At 39.3% G+C, this 20,483-nt stretch overlaps 1 long non-coding RNA gene across 1 annotated transcript in view, besides 1 other annotated feature; it reads left to right on the top strand.

Moving 5' to 3' along the window:
- The window catches only part of LINC01250 (long intergenic non-protein coding RNA 1250), a 230,979-nt gene that overhangs the window by 147,366 nt on the left and 63,130 nt on the right, over positions 1–20,483 (top strand). The window contains exons 4-5 of the long non-coding RNA NR_110228.1: positions 11,986–12,083; positions 12,790–12,847. This is a non-coding gene — a long non-coding RNA (long intergenic non-protein coding RNA 1250). The remainder of the gene's footprint in view (positions 1–11,985; positions 12,084–12,789; positions 12,848–20,483) is intronic.
- Positions 4,558–4,727: an enhancer, noted in NCBI's record as "experimental_58239 CRE fragment used in MPRA reporter constructs". NCBI's record gives its function as "activates a minimal promoter by MPRAs in K562 erythroleukemia cells, with activity observed for both the introgressed and non-introgressed 2:2977791 variant alleles {active_cell/tissue: K562}" and the evidence as "EXISTENCE:reporter gene assay evidence [ECO:0000049][PMID:34662402]".

The raw sequence follows: 20,483 nt of genomic DNA, 5'->3' as shown, positions 1-20,483 counted from the left end.
CGGCTATTGCACATCTATGCTGCAGTGAACATGTGTGTGCAGATATCTTTACAAGGTGGTGGTTTCATCTCCTTTGAGTATTTACCCAGAAGAGGGATTCCTGGGTCATATGGTAGTTATATTTTAAATTTCTTTAGTAACTTCCATACTGTTTTCCACAATGGTTGCACCCATCTACATTTCCATTAATGGTATACAAGGGTTCCCTCTCTACATCCTCACCAACACTTGTTATATCTTTTCCTTTTCACAATAGCTATTCTAATAGGTGTGTGGTATTATCTCAGTATGCTTTTAATTTGCATTTCTCTGATGATTAGTGATGCTGAGCACTTTTTCATTGGCCATTTTTATATGACTTTCTTGGAGAAATGTTTATTGAGGTTATTTTCCCATTTAAAAATTGAGCTATTTGATGTTTTGCTGTTGAGTAGTGTGAGTTCCTTACATATTTGGAATATTAACCCCTTGTCTAGTACAGGGTTCACAAATATTTTCTCTCACTATGTTGGCTACTTTCTTATTTTGTTGTTTGTTTCATTTGCTCTACAGAAGCTTTTTAATTTGATGTAGTTCCACTTTTTTTTTTATTTTGTTGCCTGAGCTTTTGGTGTGATATTAAAAAAAAATTGCCAAAGCCGGTATCAAGGAGTTTTCTTCTCCATGTTTTCTTCTAGTAGGTTTATAATTCCAAGTCTTAGGTTTAGGTCTTTAATCAATTATAAGTTGATTTTTGTAAATAGTGTAAGATAAGGACCCAGTTTTTTTTTTTTCTGCATATGGATAGTCAACTTTCTCACCATCATTTATTGAAGAGACTATCGTTTCACCATTCTGTTTTCTTGGTGGCCTTGTCAAGATATACACTACTAATATATGTGTGGGTTTATTTCTGGGCTATTTATTCTGATCCATTGGTCTATATATTTGCTTTTATGCCACTACCAAACTGTTTTGATTACTGTAGCTTTGTAATATAATTTGAAATCTGGAAGTGTGATGCCTCTAATTTGTTTTTCTTTCTCAAGTCTGTTTTGACTACTCAGGGTTTTTGTAGTTCCATATAAATTTAAGATATGTTTTTCTATTTCTGTGAAAAATGTCATTGCAATATTTCTAGGAATTGCATTGAATTTCTATATTGCTGTGGGTAGTGTGGACATTTTAATGATACTAATTCTTCCAATTTATGAACATGAAATGTCATCACATTTATTTGCATATTGTTCAGTTTCTTTCAACAATGATTTATAATTTTCAGTGTACAGATCTTTCACTCCCTTGGTTAAATATTTTTCCTAGGTATTTATTCTTTTTGATGCTATTATGAATGGTATTTTTCTTTATTTCTTTTTTGAATAGATTGGTGTAAAGAAATAAAACTGATTTTTATATGTTAATATATGTTAATTTTATATACTGCAACTTTACTAAATTCATTTATTAATTTTATCAGTTATTTGTGGAGTCTTAAGGGTTTTTTACATGTAGGATTTTGTCATCTACAAACAGGAATAATTTTACTTTTGCTTATTTGGATGCATTTTATTCCTTTTCTTGTCTGATTCTCTTGCTAGTACTTTTAATACTGTGTTAAACAGAAGTGGTGAGAACAGACATCTTTGCCTTATACCAGATCTTAAAGGAAATGCTTTCAGATTTTTGCCATTGATTATGATATTGTACACGTTTGATGGATGAATTCTGTGGTATGTCAATTATAAATCAATACATTCTACTTAAATAAATATGAAAGCAATTTGGCCAGGTGTGGTGGCTCACGCTTGTAATCCCAGCACTTTGGGAGACTGAGGTGGGTGGATCACTTGAGGTCAGGAGTTCGAGACCAGCCTGGCCAGCATGGCAAACTCCTTTCTCTACTAAAAATACAAAAATTAGCTGGGCGTGATGGCACATGCCTGTAGTCCCAGCTACTCGGGAGGCTGAGGCAGGAGAATCGCTTGAACCCAGGAGGTGGAGGTTGCAGCTGAGCCGAGATCACGCCACTGCACTCCAGCTTGGGTGACAGAGCAAGACTCTGTCTCAAAAAAAAAAAGCAATCTAACCCACAAAACTAGAGATGAGTAGGAGTGAAAAAAGAATATGTTCAGTTTATTCTGGAAGATTTATGAAAGGTGAGTTTGATGCTACAGCTTCCTGTGTGTAAAACCTTTAGAAGTCTCTAGTTCTTCCCATCTTCCTCCCTGGCTTGCCTGACCTCGCGCCTGCCTTCTTCTGCAGCATAATTTCCTCCACTCCAGACTCCTGCTCTTCCCTCCGGCTGTAGCGAGCATCTCTGTGCCTCTCCAAGGCCGTTCACCTCCTGTGAGCATCTCTGTGCTTCTCCAAGGTGTTTCACCTTCTGTGCCCAGATACTTCCCCATGTGCACTTTTCTTTGCTTAAAATACTTCCTTTCCCCATCTCTTTTCCCACACCCTTCCCCATCTTGAATAAATCCTACCCATCTTCAGACCTGTGCTTCTTTTGGCCTTCCCATCACCACCTTCCTCACACTTCCCCACAGGCTGTACCACTTTTCTTGTCCTCCAGTGGACCCAGTCAGCCTTGAGGAAGGGCCCTGCGACTCTGTCAAGCCCACTACGCAGGGCACGGTGGTGCACACCCAGTGCCCGGATCACGCTGTGGTGCGCAGGACTATCCACTATGACAGCAGCCCATTGTTTTGGTGGTGGTCGTTCATGTGTTCTTGCGGTCTCTTTTGAACTTAAAGGGGGGGGTTCTTATTTCTAGCAAAACATGTCTGGTTATTCGTCCCCTTTAATACAAACTTAAATAGGCTTTCATTTCTTTCTTCTACAGTATAAGACATGTCATTCTTTCATGACTTGGTTCCCATTTGTTATGAAAATTTTCCTCTCAAGTGTTTTCCTCAAGTGAGAGGTTGAAAATTTGGAAGTCTGGAGTCTGGTCCTCAGTTCTAATCTGGTAAGATTAGCAGTGATATTTAAACTCTGTCTGCGTTTGTGCACCTCGAGATGAGTTCTTTCCTCTTTTCATGCTGCAGCTAACAGGGGATGTCAACCATTTCACTATCTCCCAGTGACGGGATTTTAACAAACAGGAATGAATATTAATTTAGTTATCTGGTAATGACGGTATTACGGTTATTGTGTTTAAAGCATACACATTAATGAAAATTAGCCCACATTTTCACTGGATTGCAAAGAATATGGCTGTGTAAAGCATGGCTCAATATTTTGTAGGTGAGTTTACCATTTAACTATATTTCAAATGGATTTCTGGGCAATTCACAGAACATCCCAGGTCCCTGGGTTTGCATCTCTGGAGGTTGTGAGTCGCTTATCCGTAGTATAGGGTGACAGAACCAGAAAGGGCTGGGGTGTGCTTTGTGGAGGAGTTTCTGACAGCCTGTATTTACCCATTGGATGTATATGCACATCTTCCTAAGCATTCATTTAGCTGACAGTCTGGGAAATGTCAGCATTCTAATTAACTCCAGCTAGAGAAGGTTGTGCTGCAATCTGAAATCCCTTTGATTGATATGGCTGCAATTAGAGCTCAGCTCCCTCTCAGCACACTGAAGTGGAGAGAGAGTGAGGAACAGGCATCACAGGGCTCTCTGCAGAGCAGAGCTCCATTCTGTATCCATAGCTGGGAGGTAATGTGTGAAGGGAGATGCCTGATTGCCTCATCCAACCTTCCTCACGCTCCCAAATTGAGGAATTTATTACTTTTGTTAGAATAAAAAAGAAATGTACATTACCCTTTGCTTGTGTAGCTATTGCTTTATTAAGGGGATTTGGGGAACTTTGAAGGTCATTATGTTAAATCGAATAGATGTTTTCCCTCATTTTTATGAAGTATATTGACAGGAGGGCCCTTATTTATATTTATCTTAAAACAAACTTATAAGTGCCATGTGTAAATTTGCATGATCAAAATGACAGGAATAAGGATACAAGTTAGATTTTTAGGTAATTTGTATAGATGCTCATAGACCAAATAGAAAGTCTTTTTTTGAGAATCAAATTTAGCAGATCAAAATTCTTTGATTACCTACTCTGTGCCAGGAACTATGGTAATGTCGAGAGCTACAAAGAAAAACACCACACTGCCTTTGACCTAAGGAGGCATGGAAAGGCACGGGTAAAGAAACCCAACGTGTACGGGCACTGGCACTAGTGGAGAGCTAGGTGAGACATCAGCCAGTGGAGGGGAAGGAGTGGTCATCCTGTTGGGAAAACCAGGAGATTCCAAGAGGAGGGACCATTGAATTGGTCTCTGATGCTTGAGAATAATTTCAATAAGGGAAGAACTGGGGCAAGGGGCTTCCAGGCTGAACACAGGCTTGGCCGTGAAGAACCTTCGTGGTGAGTTTGGACCACAGCTGTGTGGCCAGTGTCCGGGAAGGTGGGAGTTGAGAAAGGATTCAGTGTTGGGGCTGGGGGTGACGGCGGCTGCAAAGATAGAATGACCAGATTGCACAGGGCTGGGCGCACATGGCTTTGCCACTTTGTTTTCTGATGCTGGTAGTAGGAAATTATTGCAGGATTTTGATAGAGAAGTTCATGAACTGATCTATGTTTTAGGCAGGCAACCTCATCCCTGTTGTAGATCCAGGAGAAATTGGAGGAAGGAGAACCAGTGAAGACATCATCGTGATTGAACTGATGGGAAATTATTAGTCTGGATTAGACTATTATTCTTTTTTTCCCCACTCAGGCTGTCCCAATTGCTGCTTTTGGTGGAACTGATTGGCTAGGCTGGGATAGAGGAGTCAAACGGTGTACTCAGACAATCTAGTCGTAATACGGAGACTGGCCCCTCCTTCAGCTCCCAAACCCTATTAAAGATAAGGAAACTTATATTCCTAGTCCTTAGAAAGCAGAGTTCCAATTAACCAAAGAAAGGGGACACAGACAAGGAAAACATTGAGCCCATGTTCCAGTTCTGAAAGTCAGCAAAATGCTCCACATTTACCGAAGAACTGGGATCCTCCTCCTGTGGCTCCTCCAAGGTCAGTACTGGGGTTCCCAGGTGAGGGGCAGCCTCAAAGCACACTCTTTTCTAATCTGCTGAAACACATAGGTGAAAGTTGTGCTGTTTTGAAGTTGTGAAGGTTAAATTTATGTGTCAGTGTTACTGGGCTGCAGAGTGCCCAGACAGTTGGTTAAACCTTATCCTGGGTGCTTCTACATGAAGTCAGCATTTGGGTCAGTGGGCTGCCTCCCTAGTGAGTGGGCCTCATCCATTCCACTGAAGGCCTGAACAGAACAAAAGACTAAGGAAGAAAGAACTCCCTCTCTCTGCCTAACTGTCTCCAGGCCGGAATACTGGCCGTCTCCTGTCTTAGGACCCAGATTGAACTGGAACATACACCATTGGCTCTCCTGGTCTCTAGCCTGCTGACTGCAGATCTTGGTCTTCTCGGCTTCCATAATCATGTATAAATTCCTCATAGTACATCTCGCTTCCCCCCCTTCACGCACACACACATAGACATGCATACACATATGCCTCTTAGTGTGTGTGTGTATATGTATATGTATATATGAATATGTATATTTATCTCCTATTGGTTGCTTTTTCTGGAGAACCCAGACTAACATAGAAGTTACATTTCTATTTAAAAATTTTAATACTTTACCGTTTTTATATAAATAATACATACGTTAAGTCCAACAGAGCTTAAAGGTAAACAAACAAAAAAGCATACATATTAGAAAAAGAATCAAGCAACCTAGAAGAGAACAGAAATGATATCCACAAATCTTGCTTAGTATCCTAAATATCCTAACATAGTATTCTAAGGCTACAGAAACTATGAAACATTCAATGAGATTGGAATTATTATATTTCTAATCCCATGTTTTAATTTTAGATGTCTTCAACTTCTGGCTATGAAAGACGAGAGGATTAATTTTCTTACTGCCAAATTCCCTCTCTTCCCCTCTGCTTTTGTATTTGTAATGCCAGTGTATAAGCATTGTTAAGGTTTCTAACATTTGCAGAATTTCCACATTTGTTTAATATTATATTAATAGATGTGATAAGACCAACATTACAAATTAATAGTATCTTATGAGCTTTTTAAGGATGGTGCGGATAGCAATTTCATCTTAATTTTCAGAGCAATTGATTTTTTTGTATTTTACTTTTAATTCCAAAGGAGTTTACTTCCCATGATAAAATTTCAGGGGAAAGATATGCCTATGAACTAATAAGCTTAATTTTATGTTTGATTTATGAATATATTATATATACATATATTTGTTATTTCCCCTGAAATCCTGTCCTAAGTTCCATATGATTTCTTAGATAATTGAGTCAGACTGCTAATTTTTGCATTCTATCTTATCATTTCTTCAAGTGTAGGTTTCCCATAGTAAGTACATCCACAAAAATATTTGGAGGCTCTAAAATTATTTGGAGAGAAATAACTTAAAAGAATGTTAACTTTGGCCATAATAGACTAGCAATGAAGCTTATTTTTTGCTGGAAATCATCAAAGGCCATGAATGAAATTTTACTTGTTAATTTGTAAAAAAATACCTAATTTAGGCTAACATACTTTTTAAGGACATAAGATTTAAGCATATTATTTCTAAATCTAAAGCATATAACAACCTAGAAGTATAGCTGTTATCTTACTGGTTAGGGAAGGGCCCAGCTGTGAGTGATAGCCAGTGACAGTGGTGTAATGAAGTGAGGTGGCTTTTCTCATGGAGCAGCAGGTCAAAGGTGAGTAATATGGGGTAGTGCAGCTGCTGTGCAATGCCTTCCTGGATTTTGGGTTTCCTGTCTTGATGGTTCTTTATCCTCATGCTTGTCACCTCATGGTCTCAACATGGCTGCTGCAACCTCAGCCATCTTGTCTGCATTCCAGGAAGAAATTGGAGGGCAGGGCCTAGGGACCAAGGGGCCTTCCAGCAGATGCTTCTTCCTCTTAGAAAAGCAAAAGCCCCAGTCAGTCAGCTTCTTGTCTTGTTGCTCTGTCCAGAGTGGTGCCTTGAAGGCTTCTTCCCAGCTTCTTATTCCTAGCTGGAAAGGTGGCTTCGAATTTCTTTCTTTTCTATGATGTTTCTAAAGTCTCCATTGTGTTTGCTGGGATAAGATAGTTGACCTAATTTTGGGGACTTCTAAATAAAGTTTTCTCTAGACAAAGAGGTAATAACTGAGAAGGATTCTCTTAAAAAAAAGAATAGCAATTTAGTGAATTACAGAACATAGCTGGAAAAATAATAATGTCCAAACATGAAGTAGTCTGTGATCTTTACCTGTAGTTTTAATGTCGAGGACTTGTGGTTCTGCTATCTCCAGGAGACTTTTTTGTCTATATCTTCACTTCTCAGTGCCATTTCCCCTGCTGTAACTTTGGTGAAGCTGCTTATGTCAGAAGACATGTGGGGAAAAGGAATGCATGGATTGGTTTGTTTTTTGTAATTGGCTGTTAACAGCCTGAGGTGACAAGGGGAGGGATGAAGCTCTGCAGAGCCATGTGCATGCCCATGAGCCCGGCACATGTGCTGCACTGGTTTCTCTGATGGTCTCAATTCTCCACTCCAGCCCGTGCACATGCTTTTGTTAATGTTACTCGCATCTTTTTCTATCAAAAGATGGAAACTATTTCTCCACCCCTGGAATTCTGGGCTGGCCTTAAGACTTGCTTCGATCAATAGCAATGATGAAAATGACAGTATTCCCATTCTGGATTTTGGTCTCAGGAAGCCTTTCATGCCTCTGCCTTGACCATGAGAACAAGTCCAGGCCAGCATGCTGGAGGAAGAGAGACCACACGGAGCAGAGCCCAGGCCATCCTTGGCCAGTCAACACCATCTAACCCCAAATGTGTGATGTGTGAGGGACCCTGGCCAGGACCAGCAGAACCACTCAACTGACCCACAGACTGAGGAACAGTAATGATGGTTGTTGTTTCGAGGCACTGTGTTTTGGGATGGTTTGTTAGGCAATGTTCTTTTGGCAATAGTTAACTAATACTGCATGTTTTGAGGTATTTTATATTCATTTTTACATTTAATCTTAATAACAGGCCATCATGTTACTGATACTATATCTGTCTTAGAGACAAGCAATCTGAGTTTCACAGAGATGAAATAATTCCCCAAATCACAGAGCTAGAAAGTGGTACATCTTTTCATTGACACAAGATTTGTCTTATTTCAAAACCCATTCCCTCTGCCCAGCCTCTCTGAATCTGAGGAGCACTTGTGAACAGGGGCCTTAGTTCCACATGAAGAGCAGAGTGAAGAGGTGCAGGCAAGGGTTCAGCGTGGTCACAGTACTCTAGTGCTGCGTAGAAACCAACTTCATAATCTCAGTAATGGTCTATCAATCAAAACCACAACGCAATACCACCTTACTGTTGCAAGAATGGCCATAATTAAAAAAAATTAAAAAATAATAAATATTGGCTGGGGTATGGCGAACAGGGAATACTTCTACACTGCTGGTGGGAATGTAAACTACTACAACCACTATGGAAAACAGTGTGGAGGTTCCTTACAGAACTAAAAGTAGAACTACCATTTGATCCTGCAATCCCACTACTGGGTATCTACCCAGGGGAAAATAAGTCATTATACGAAAAAGATACTTCCACACACGTTTATAGCAGCACAATTCACAATTGCAAAAATATGGAACCAGCCCAAATACCTGTCAATCAATGAGTGGATAAGAAAATGTTATATGTACACACACACACACACACACACACACACACACACCACTGAATACTATTCAGCCATAAAAAAGAATGAAATAATGGCATTTGCAGCAACCTGGATGGAATTGGATACCATTATTCTAAGTGAAGTAACTCAGGAATGGAAAACCAAACATCATATATTCTCACTCATAAGTGTGGGAGCTAAGCTATGAGGATGCAAAGGCATAAGAGTGACACAATGGACTGTGGGGACTTGGAGGAAAGGGTGGGAGCAGGTTGAGGGATAAAAGACTGCATATTGGGTGCAGTGTACACTGCTCGGGTGATAGGCGCACCAAAATCTCACAAATCACCACTAAAGAAGTTACTCATGTAACCAAACACCACCTGTTCCCCAAAAACCTATGGAAATAAAAATACAATACAGTTTAAAAAACCCAAAACCAAAATTAATGTATTGTACACAAAAATTTAAGAGAGAAAACCTCATGTTAAGTGTTCTTACCACAATAAAAGAAAATAAAAGAAAAACAAAACAAAAAAGAAAAGAACTTCAGGTTCCTCTGTGGCTGGGCAGACATTTTCTTCCTCTACTGTCTCTCCAATTTCCCCATGTGTTGTACCTCTTGGGTTATTTTATGCTAGAAGGAGTTGACAGTGAGATGCAAGAGTCTTCTGATTTTTTTTTAAATTGACAAATAATTGTATATATTTATGGGGCAAAATGTGATTTCTTGATATATGTATAAATTGTGGAATAATTAAATCAAGCTAGCTAACTTATCCTCACCTTACTTATCATTTTTTTTAGTGGTGAGAACATTTAAAATCTAATCTTTTAGCAATTTTGAAATTTATACTACATTATTTTTAACTGTAGTCACCATGCTGTGCAATAGATCACTAAAACTTATTCCTCCTGTCTAACTAAAACATTGTTTTGACCCCTAACTTCTCACTTCCATATCTTCCCACCTCCCTGCTACCCCATCCTGTGGTAACCATCTGCTCTCTGCTTTCAAGAGTTAAGCTTTCTTAGATTCCAGATGTAAGTGAAAGCATGAAGTCTTTGTCCTTCTGTGCCTGGCGTATTTCACTTATAGCAATGTCCTCCAAATTTACCCATATTGCCACAAATGTCGGGATTTTCTTCTTTTCTTTTTTAAGACGGAAGAGTATGACATTGTATATCTATACCACATTTTCTTTATTCATTTATTCATTGGTGGACACCTGGGTTGATTCCATATCTTGGATATTGTGGATAATGCTGTAGGCAACATGAGAGAGTGCAGGTATCTCTTTGATATAGTGATTTCAATTCCTTTCGATATAAAACAAGTAGTGAGATTGCCAAATCATATGGTAGCTTTATTTTTATTTATTTTTGTTGTTGTTGTTGATACGGAGTCTCACTCTGTTGGTCTCACTCTGTTTCCCAGGCTAGAGTGCAGTGGTGCGATCTCGGTTCACTGCAACCTCTGCCTCCCTGGTTCAAGTGATTTTCCTGCCTCAGCCTCCCAAGTAGCTGGGATTACAGGCACGTACTACCACGCCTGGCTAATTTTTGTATTTTTAGTAGAGATGGGGTCTCACCATGTTGGCCAAGCTGGTCTCAAATTCCTAACCTCAAGTGATCCACCTGCCTTGGCCTCTCAAAGTGTAGGGATTACAGGCATAAGCCACTGCACCCATCTATTTTTAATTTTTTGAGGGACTTACCAAACTGTTTTTCATAATGTCTGTACTTATTTATATTTTCATCAACAAAGTACAAGGTTCTCTTTTCTCCACATCTTCATCTATACTTGTTACCTTTTTAAAAAATAAGGTCTTGCTCTTTTGCCCAGGCTGGAGTGCAGTGACACAATCATAGCTCACTGCAGCCTCAAACTCCTGGGCTCATGTGATCCTCCCACCTCAGCCTTCTTAGTAGCTGGGGCTACAGGCATGTGCCACTGCCCCTGGTTAAGTAGTTTTACAGACGCCAGGGGTGGGGCAGGGGCCCATTGGGTTGCTCATGCTGGTCTTGGACTCCTGAGCTACTTATTGTGTTAGACTGAGGATCTTTAATATCCCATCCTGTTTCCAGGCTTCTGAACCTCAACGTGTCCTGAATTGAACTCACTCAAACCCACTTGTCTTTCTGTGTTTCCCTCCTAAAGGATGACACCACCATCCATGTGGCTATCTAGGCCATCCTGAACTTCAAAATCATCTTTCATCTGGGATCTTCTTCTCAAATTCCAAAATTCAGTCACAGGCCTCATTCATTCCAGAACCCTGATAACTCCTGAGTCCATTCATTTCTCTTTAAACTCACCAACGTTACTTGAATTAAAGACTGAACTATGTATTTTGAGGGTTCTAGATACTGCCTTCCCACCAGCACGTGTTTCCAGTCTTCCCACTTCCCAGGCCACCCATCAGCCTGTTGCCAAAGTGATCTTTCTCACATAAGCATTTGAGCAAAACTTTCTAGACATCCAATCACAGAATTCTCCAGACAAAGTTGTAAACTTAGCAACTGACATAGGCATTTAATGGGGCTTCACAATATAGGATGGGTACATGAGTAAATGAATGAAGTAACTGTTTTTCTAAATTTACTTTATATACATAAAAATATTATCTACCTTTGAACGTTGAATCAATCATTGGCTCAACACTTTGATGGCATAGAGGGGGAGATCAGAAAATATTTTTAATTTCTTATTTAGAAAGTTAAAAAAATATGCCCTGGGTTGTATGGTTATGTAACTCAACCCTTGAAATGTAAAAATTTTGTCTGTATGCACAATTAATTTTAAAAGTAAAGGAATATATATTCATAGCCTAATCTATGTTTTTATCACGTGCATGGCCTCATAAAAAAAAATATATATATCTCAGAGTGTCTTTTTTTTTCTTTTTAAAATTTGGAAATTAGTAACGTGCTGTTTGGAATCTTTGTATAATGAAATTCATTGTCATATGAACCATGCATGCTTAATTTCTCTTAGTTTCTCTATTTTGGGATAATTAATGTACTGAGTTTTTCAAAAGACAGGTGAAACATGTATTTTCCTCAAAGCCTGGATACTCTTGGGTTGTGGAGGAATTTTCAGGGACTGCCCTGCCATAGAGGGTCTGTTTGTCTTATTCTTCTTAGGCCAAATTGTATGTGAAATGGAGAGACAAATGTTTTATTGCTAATTTCAGTATGCACTCATTGGTGAGCACATTTTCTCCTAATGGCCACCCTCAGTGCTGCAAAATGTCACTGAGATTGTGCAGTGAAAGCCTTAGAATTAACCACTCATATTAATTATAGGTTCTACTGATGAATTCATTTAACTTTGACCTGGGAAGAAAAGTCATAAATTCACATCCATGAACAGGAGGAGAAGAAGGGGAACTGCTATAGAGACTGTGAGTTATTTATTTATTTATTTTTCTCAGCACTTTTTAGCTCTGCAAACACAATCTTGCCAGGATTATTTTCAGGTTATTTGTCTAGAGTCCAGAGGAAAGTGACTTTGTTTATTTTGTGGATTTACATGCCATTTCTACAGAATAATCTCTTTTTAAAAATGGATAAAATAGATTATGTTAAATCAGAAAGGAAATATTGGTTTTAGTTCCTTGTGTAATCCAGGTAGATTAAGCAAAGCATTGTTGGAAAGGGATTGGACTATATTTGGAAAGGAAAACAATACAAATCATGATAGTTGGTATCATGAGAATGTCACAAAGAGCAAAATATGAAGGAATGCAACACCTACTCTGCAGTGATGAGAAAGCAAAGAGAAGAGATCCGCAGGCATTCTATCTACAAAGGGCAGAAAGGCCACTACAGTTAGAAGCAGAAGATTTAGGTCCTGGTTGAGAATTTGCCAATTACTAGTTAGGTGACCCTGGACAAGTGAATTAACCTTTTGGAGTCTTGGTTTCTCAGCTGTGAAATGGGGATAATGACTCACAGGGTTGTTGTGAGAATCAAATGAGATAATGGATGTGAAATGGTTTTGGAAACTGAAAGCATTGTAGAAACGTAAGGGAATATTACTGTTTTGGTTATTGTATTTTTAAGAACAACTCCACATCTGTAATGTCAACACATACTCCCCCTTCACAGGCACAGTGATGACCCCTGCATGCATTTTTCAGTCAACAAGAGCATCTCGTGACTTCTGGTGAGTCTCATAGAATCTAGGCATGTGGAAAAGTTTCTCCCAATGTCAGAAGTGATGAAGACTGCACAGATGATTCTCCATAAAAATAATTGTTCTGCATTTTCTTTTCTTTAAATTATGTATTTGAAATTTTATTATATTTTATATTTTAAACTTTTATATAGCTGAGAATCTAGGCTCACATAATTTTAGAGATGCTAGGGAACTGGATAGATCAATTCCGCTTCTTCTACTAAAGCCAGGGAACCTGGGACCCAGAGAGGCTAAGTGAATTGTCCGAGGACACACAGCAAATAAGACAGCTTGATTCCTCTGAAGGTTCTTTTAAAGTCTGTTAGACAAAATTTCTTTTTTTCTTCTTTTTTCAACATTTATTTTAGATACAGGGGTACAAGTGCAGATTTGTTACATGAAAATATTGCGTGATGTTGAGGTTCGGAATATGGATCCCATCACCATGGTAGTGAGCATCATACCTGATAGGAAGTTTCTTACCTCCCACCCCGGTTGTCCACAGTATCTATTGTTCCCTTGTTTATGTCCATGTGTGCTCAATGCTTAGCTCCCACGTGAGAACATGCGGTATTTGATTTTCTGTTCCTGTGTTAATTTGCTTAGGATTATGACCTCCAGCTCCATCCATGTCCCTGCAAAGAACACGACTTCATTCTCTTTTATGGCTGCATATTATTCCATGGTGGTTTTCTTTATCAAGTCTACCATTGATGGGCACCTGAGTTGATTCCATGTCTTTGCTATTGTGAATAGTCCAGTGATGAATGTATGAGTTCATGTGTCTTTTTGGTAGAATAATTTATTTTCTTTCAGGTATATACCCAGTAATGGGATTGCTGTTCAGGTATATACCCAGTAATGGGATTGCTGGGCCAAATGGTAGCTCTGTTTTCAGTTCTTTGGGGAATCCCCAAACCGCTTTCCACAGTGGCTAGGCTAATTTACATTCCCACCAAGAGTGTATAAGCATTCCCTTTTCTCTGGAGGCCTACCAGCATCTATTGCTTTTTGACTTTTTAGTAATAGCCATTTAGATTGGTGTGAGATAATATCTCATCATGGTTTTGATTGATTTGCAGTTCTCTGATAGTTATGTTGAGCATTTCTTCATATGTTTGTTGGCTGCTTGTATATGTTCTTTTGCAAAGTATCTGTTCATGTCCTTGGCTCATGTTTTAATGAGGTTATTTGTTTTTGGCTTGTTGACTTAAGTTCCCTGTAGATTCTGGATATTAGGCCTTTGTCATATACATAATTTGTGAATATCTTCTCCTGTTCTGTAGGTTGTCTGTCTGCTCTGTTGATAGTTTCTTTTGCTGTGCGGAAACTCTTTAATTAGGTCCCTCTTGTCTATTTTTGTTTTTGTTGCAATTGCATTTTGGGACTTAGCCAAAAATTATGTGGCAAGGCCAATGTCGAGAAGAGTATTTCTTAGATTGCCTTCCAGGATTTTTATTGGTTTAGATTTACATTTATATCTTTAATCTATTTTGAGTTAATTTTTGTATGTGGTAAAGGGTAGGGGTCCAGATTCAGCCTTCTGCATATGGCTAGCCAGCTATCCCAGCATCATTTAGTGAATAGGGAGTCCTTTCTCCATTGTTTGTTTTTGTTGGCCTTGTCAAAGATCAGATGGTTGTAGGTGTGTGGCTTTATTTCTGAGTTTTCTATTCTTTTCCATTGGTCTATGTGTCTGGTTTTGTACAAGTACCATGCTGTTTTAGTTACTGTGGCTTTATAATATAGTTTGAAATTGGGTAGTGTAATGTCACCAGCTTTATTCTTTTTGTTTAGGATTGCTTTGGCTATTTGAGCTCTGTTTTGGTTCCACATGAATTGTAGAATAGTTTTTTTCTAGTTCTGTGAAGAATGACATTGGTAGTTTGATAAAAATAGCATTGAATCTATAAATTGCTTTGGGCAGTGTGGCCATTTTTATGATATTGGCATGGACATGGAATGTTTTTCCATTTATTTGTTGTTGTCTCTGAGTTCTTACAGCAGAGACAAAGTTTCCTGATTGTAGGAAATAAAAAACAACTCTGTATAACTTAAACAAAGAGGAAGTTATTAGAATGATACAAGTGACCCAAAAAGCTAACAGGAAACTTGTGGAAACAACTGACCTCAAGAAAGGCTGGAGGCTTCATGGCTAGACCAATGGGGATGCTAACACCTACCTAAACAAATCCCAAATATGCCTTCTCTCCAGGTTAAAAGTACCAGGAAGAGGTATCCAATTCAGGAGCCTCAGTCAGCTTGAAGCCTGGCTGCTGGGGTCAGGAAAGGTGGATCTTCTCATCAGTTTTAGATGTAGGGAGCGCAGATATGTATATTAATGTCTAATCCTATTTTATACAATTATTATACAATTCTATGATTGCATATGTTTTATGCAATTGTATAACATACATATGTCAATTAGACATTAGTATATTACATGTGGGACTATTACCCAAAAAGAGAGAGGATTGGATGTTGAACAGCAAAAAACAAGAGAAGAACACTCCATGCCCATCAAAGTCAGCCTTTTTAGAGGTGCAGAAACCCTTCTCCCTCTTGCCTAATGTGTTTTAACTATCCTTCATGGAACCACTGACGCCCCAGGCCTCATCAGTTACCGCACTAACTCTAAGGGCATGATCTAGGGATGTCTATTTTTCTAGTTAAGATTTAATCCACTTATAATATCTTCAATTTAGGACAAAATTATAAGGTTAACCAAAACCAGTGCATCTTATACAAAATAAAATGAGAAAGGGGATGACTATAAGACAATGATCCAGTTATTCGGGATGAAGCTGCAGCCTTCAAAGTCTTTGGGTTCCTTATTCTATGTATTCTACTCACTCCAAGACATTGCTGGGACTTCAACTTAAAAAAAAAAAATAAGGACCATAATTAAGTTCATGTTTCAATCAACTGCTGATGAAATTATTAAAATCACTCTGCTCCTTGGGACAGTTCACTGAATCAAGAGTCTCTGCCTCTTGTACCCAGAACAATAAATCCAGCCTGACATGGAAGTGTGTGCTTTTCTTCTCCACTTGGACCCCCTATGCAAGTCCATGAGTATGGTCAAGTTTTTGCCAATGTAGGCTGATAAGTTTTTACAAATATATATACTTTTTTTTTTGAGATGGAGTCTCGCTCTTGTACCCAGCCTGGAGTATAATGGCGTGATCTCAGCTCACTGCAACCTCCACTTCCTGGGTTCAAGCAATTCTCCTGCCTCAGCCTCCCGAGTAGATGGGATTACAGGTGCCAGCCATCATGCCTGACTAATTTTTGTATTTTTAGTACAGACAGGGTTTCATCATGTTGGCCAGGCTGGTCTTGCACTCCTGACCTCAGGTGATCTGCCCACCTCGGCCTCCCAAAGTGCTGGGATTACAGGCATGAGCCACCACGCCTGGCCTACAATTATATTTTAATTTTAAAACCTCTACTCCTTGGTTTGAACTTGTCTTGACTCCCCAGTGGTCTTAATGGAAATGGACTTGGGCTATAGATCTGAAGTTAGGGAGCAGTATGTGTAGTGCAGTGGTGCAGTGGGAGTCGTCTCCTGCTGCTCCGTCAAGATCTTAACTGAGATACTTCATATTCACTCTTTTTTGTGCGGTACTTAGTGCTAAGCAGTTGGAAATACTTGAAATCACAGAGAGAGTCCGAATGTTACTTATTTTGGAGGCAGCACGCAAAACCCAAAAGATGAAGGCTGCCTGCGGGGCGGGAGTGGGATCACATTTCATGCCTTACCAGCAATTTTCCCTGGTCAAAACAAAGTGATAAGTTGTCCTTGATGACAGCTCTCCCGGTGGTACTCGGTAAAACGCTGTGCTAATTTGCAAGGAAGTTGGAAGCAGCACTCCACACGTGGTCTTTTCTCGCTGCTCCTTGCAACAGCTTACCACACTGAACCGCGCTATTTAAAGGCCTGTTCCTCCCACTAGACTTTGAGCTCCCAGGATCACCAGAGCATGGGCTTGATCTGGTCTCTTCATTGCCACACAGTAGGGCTTGGCGAAAGTTTGTCACATTAAACAATCAGCTGGAAAATTTGTTAATGAAGTTTGGTGCCCACAGCATTATCTAAGTTAGAGGTGCAGTCTACAAAATCAACAAGTTCTCCCCAGAAAAGGGCAGGTGTGTGTTTTTGACAAACATTCGTAACGGATCACATTTAAGCTTTGGGCGTTTGGGTCCAACTTTATGTCAAATGGCAAGAGGAGGTCATGGGCTTGGCTTTATTTTATTGCATCTGAATCTTTTCTGGTCTGGGATTATGAGAGAAAGAAAAATTATTGAGTGAAACAGCGAAGTGAATTATTTGAAAATGAGACCCTTGCTTAGAATGCTCTGAAGTGGCACTGGCAGGAATGTGATGCATCCAGTAATTACAGGAGGGACAACATTGATCCAGGGTGACCCTCCCTGACAGCTCGAAGCAACCAGAGGACAGCTTGAACCAAATCGGTGGCCCCCATAATCCCACGGAGTCACAACCAGTGACGGAGCCTCAAAACTCTAATTCACACAAGACACGCAAAACCAGCCACTCATTCTGCAAGAGTTATTTTTTGTCACACTTTCACACATGGGAAACTCATCTTTCGTGAGGACAACAGTGACGAAAGAGAGGTGCCCTGCAAGGGGCCGCGAGGCCTTCTCACCGCTGCATCGTTCCTTTGTCCCGCAGAAGCGCTGATTCTCCCCCTGCCGCCTGCGGGAAAGCTGCCAGCACACAGGTGTTAGAGAGCTGGCTAATCACCACTGTGTTCTAGTTGCATTTGTACATTTTTGGAATTCCAGCTTTCGGATGATTTTCCTCTCCACTGAATAAAACAGTAATGGCCTCCGCCTGACGTTGATGAATGAACACACTTTTCTGCCCTTCCCTTCACTGTCAAGGCATCTGAAATTCATGAGGGCATAAATAACATGCACAAAGCCCTCAGCAGATTCCATCCGAGGCCAGCCTCTGTTCACAGTCCTTGGAAGACTCCAGGAGACACTGGAAACCAGGCCTCGGAGCCTGGGAATCTCTGCCCTACTGTGCGAATGATTTGTGGTGCTTTCTCGGGACTGTGTCACGCTATTTCTGAATCTCTTTGCCATTATGCGTCTAGCCATCCACACTCAGCAAGCAGTGGGACTGCTGTGTGATGCTCGCTTGGGGAACAGGGCCATATGTTTCCAGAAATACCACTCCAGACTTGCTAGCTCTGGACTTGGGGAGATCAGATGGTTCATAAGTGGATTTGGCGTTGGCAGGTTTTTCACATTTATTTTCTTCTCTGAGATTTCAAATGAAGATGTTAAAGGTTGGTGTCTGCAAATCCAAATTACTTTGGACTTTTTAATTTTAATTATTAGGGAGGGAGTTTTAAATTTTACTTTCCAAATAATTGATATAACTTAAACTTTTATTATAAATAAAGTTAAATGTGCACATAAGTAGAGAGATTAAATATTAAACAATTAATAATCAATAAATAGACCATACGCCAAACTCAACCTCAGCAATTACCTATATTGCGATGGTCACTTTTTGTCCGTCAGTTGGAAGGGAAATGCTGTGGTCTAATGTTTGTGTTCCTCCAAATTCCTATGTTGGAATCTTAACCCCCAAGGTAATGGCATTAGGAGGTGGGGCCTTTGGAAGGGGATGAGGTCATGAGGGAAGAGCCCTCAAGATGTGAAAGGGAACTGGCTTGCTGCCTTGCTTCTCTGACCATTTGAGAACACAGTGAGAATGCACCATTTATTAGGTTAGTGCAAAAGTCATTGTAGTTTTTGCAGTTACTTTTGCACCAACCTAATATATACCAGGACGTGGCCCTCAGAAATACTAAATTTTGTTATGCCTGGAACTTGGACTTCCAACCTCCAGAACTGTGAGGAATCCATTTCTGTGGTTTATAAGCCACCCAGTCTATGGGAGTTTGTTTTGTAGCCTGAATGGATGAAGACAGGGAGTATTTTTGAAAGAGGCATTTATTTTTTTCCCTAGTGAAAGTCAAGTTTTCTTCCTCCAAAATATTTACATGGTGAAGTTTTAAAAATAAAATTTGCATTCAGTGAAGTGCATAAACCTTAGCTATACAGCCCAGTTAATTTTTTTTACAAAGTGACCATACCCATACACCAGAGCCAAGACTGGGATGTAAGACATTACCAGCACCCAGAAGCCCCCTCACACTTCCGCTAGTCACCACTCCCAACCCCTAAAGGTGCTCATGATCCTCATTTCCATCACTGTAGATTAGTTTGCCTGCTTTTAAGTTGCATGAATGAGTTTACGTAGGACGTGTTCTTATACATCTGCCTTCTTTCACTCAAGATTGTGTCTGTGAGATTCTTCGGCGTTATCATGTGTAGCAGGGGCTCATTCTTGTTATTGCTATGAAGAATTATTATTTCAAACCACTGCAATTTATTTATCTATTCTACATTTGATGAACTTTTTTCTTGTTGTTTGGATGTTAAAAATTACGCTTCTGTGAAAATCTGTTCCATATCTTTTAAGGCACTGATGTACATGTTTGTTAGATATATATCCAGGAGAGGAACTGACATGCGTGTTGGGTATATGTGCATAGCCTTTCAGTTTTCCAAAATGTTTTCCAAAGAGTTTTCCAAAGTGGATGCACCAATTTACTTTTCTACCAGCAGTGTATGAAAGTGTTGGTTACTACACATTCTTAACAATACTTGACTTTGTCTTTCATTTTCACTTTAGCCATTCTGGTAGATGTGCAATAGTATAGAATTGTAATTCAAATTTGCATATTTATGATAGCTAATAATACTGGGCAGCTTTCCATATCTTATTGAACATTTTGTGAAGAGCCTGTTCAGGACTTTTGCCCATGATTTATTGGACTTTCTGTCCTTTTGTATTAATTTGTATGAGTTCTTTATGTATTATGGATGCAGGTCCTTTTCGTGATATTTGTACTATGAAGATTTTTCTCAGTATAGCTTGCTTCCTAACATTGTCCTAGGACTGACAGACTTGTTAATTTTCATGAGGTATAATTAATCAATACTTTGACTTAAGTTTAATGTCCTTTCTACATGAAAGATAAAGTATTCTATATTCTAGATGCTGTATTGTTTTACTTTTCACATTTAGGTCTACAATCAATATGGAAATGCCAGTTTCCACATGGTATGAGATAGGGATCAAGATTCATTATTTTCCTATGTGAATATATAATAGATTGATCATAATTTAAGAAAATTATTATTTTCCCATCATATCATAGTGTCACTTTTGTGGTAAATCAGGTGAGTACATATGTGTGAATCTGTTTACAGATTCCTATTTTGTTCCTTTGGTCAATTTGTGTATCCTTGCACTAATATTACATTAGATTAATTATTGTATCTCTGTAATAGACTTGAAATCAGGAATTGTAAAGTCTCCAACTCTGTCCCTCTCCTTGTCTTTGCTATTCTTTGACATTTGCACTTCTACAAAGAATAAATTTGTTAATTTGCACACACAAACACACACACATCACTGTGTTGGAATTCCGATCAAGATTGCATTGAATCTATATATTGATTGGGGGGAGTAATACATTTAAAACATTAAGTCTTTAATTCATAAACT

This window comes from Homo sapiens, chromosome 2, assembly GCF_000001405.40.
Source record: "Homo sapiens chromosome 2, GRCh38.p14 Primary Assembly".
NCBI classification, from domain to species: domain Eukaryota; kingdom Metazoa; phylum Chordata; class Mammalia; order Primates; family Hominidae; genus Homo; species Homo sapiens.
The sequence above is the reverse complement of the archived record's forward strand: the minus strand, read 5'-3'. Positions and strand labels throughout refer to the sequence as shown.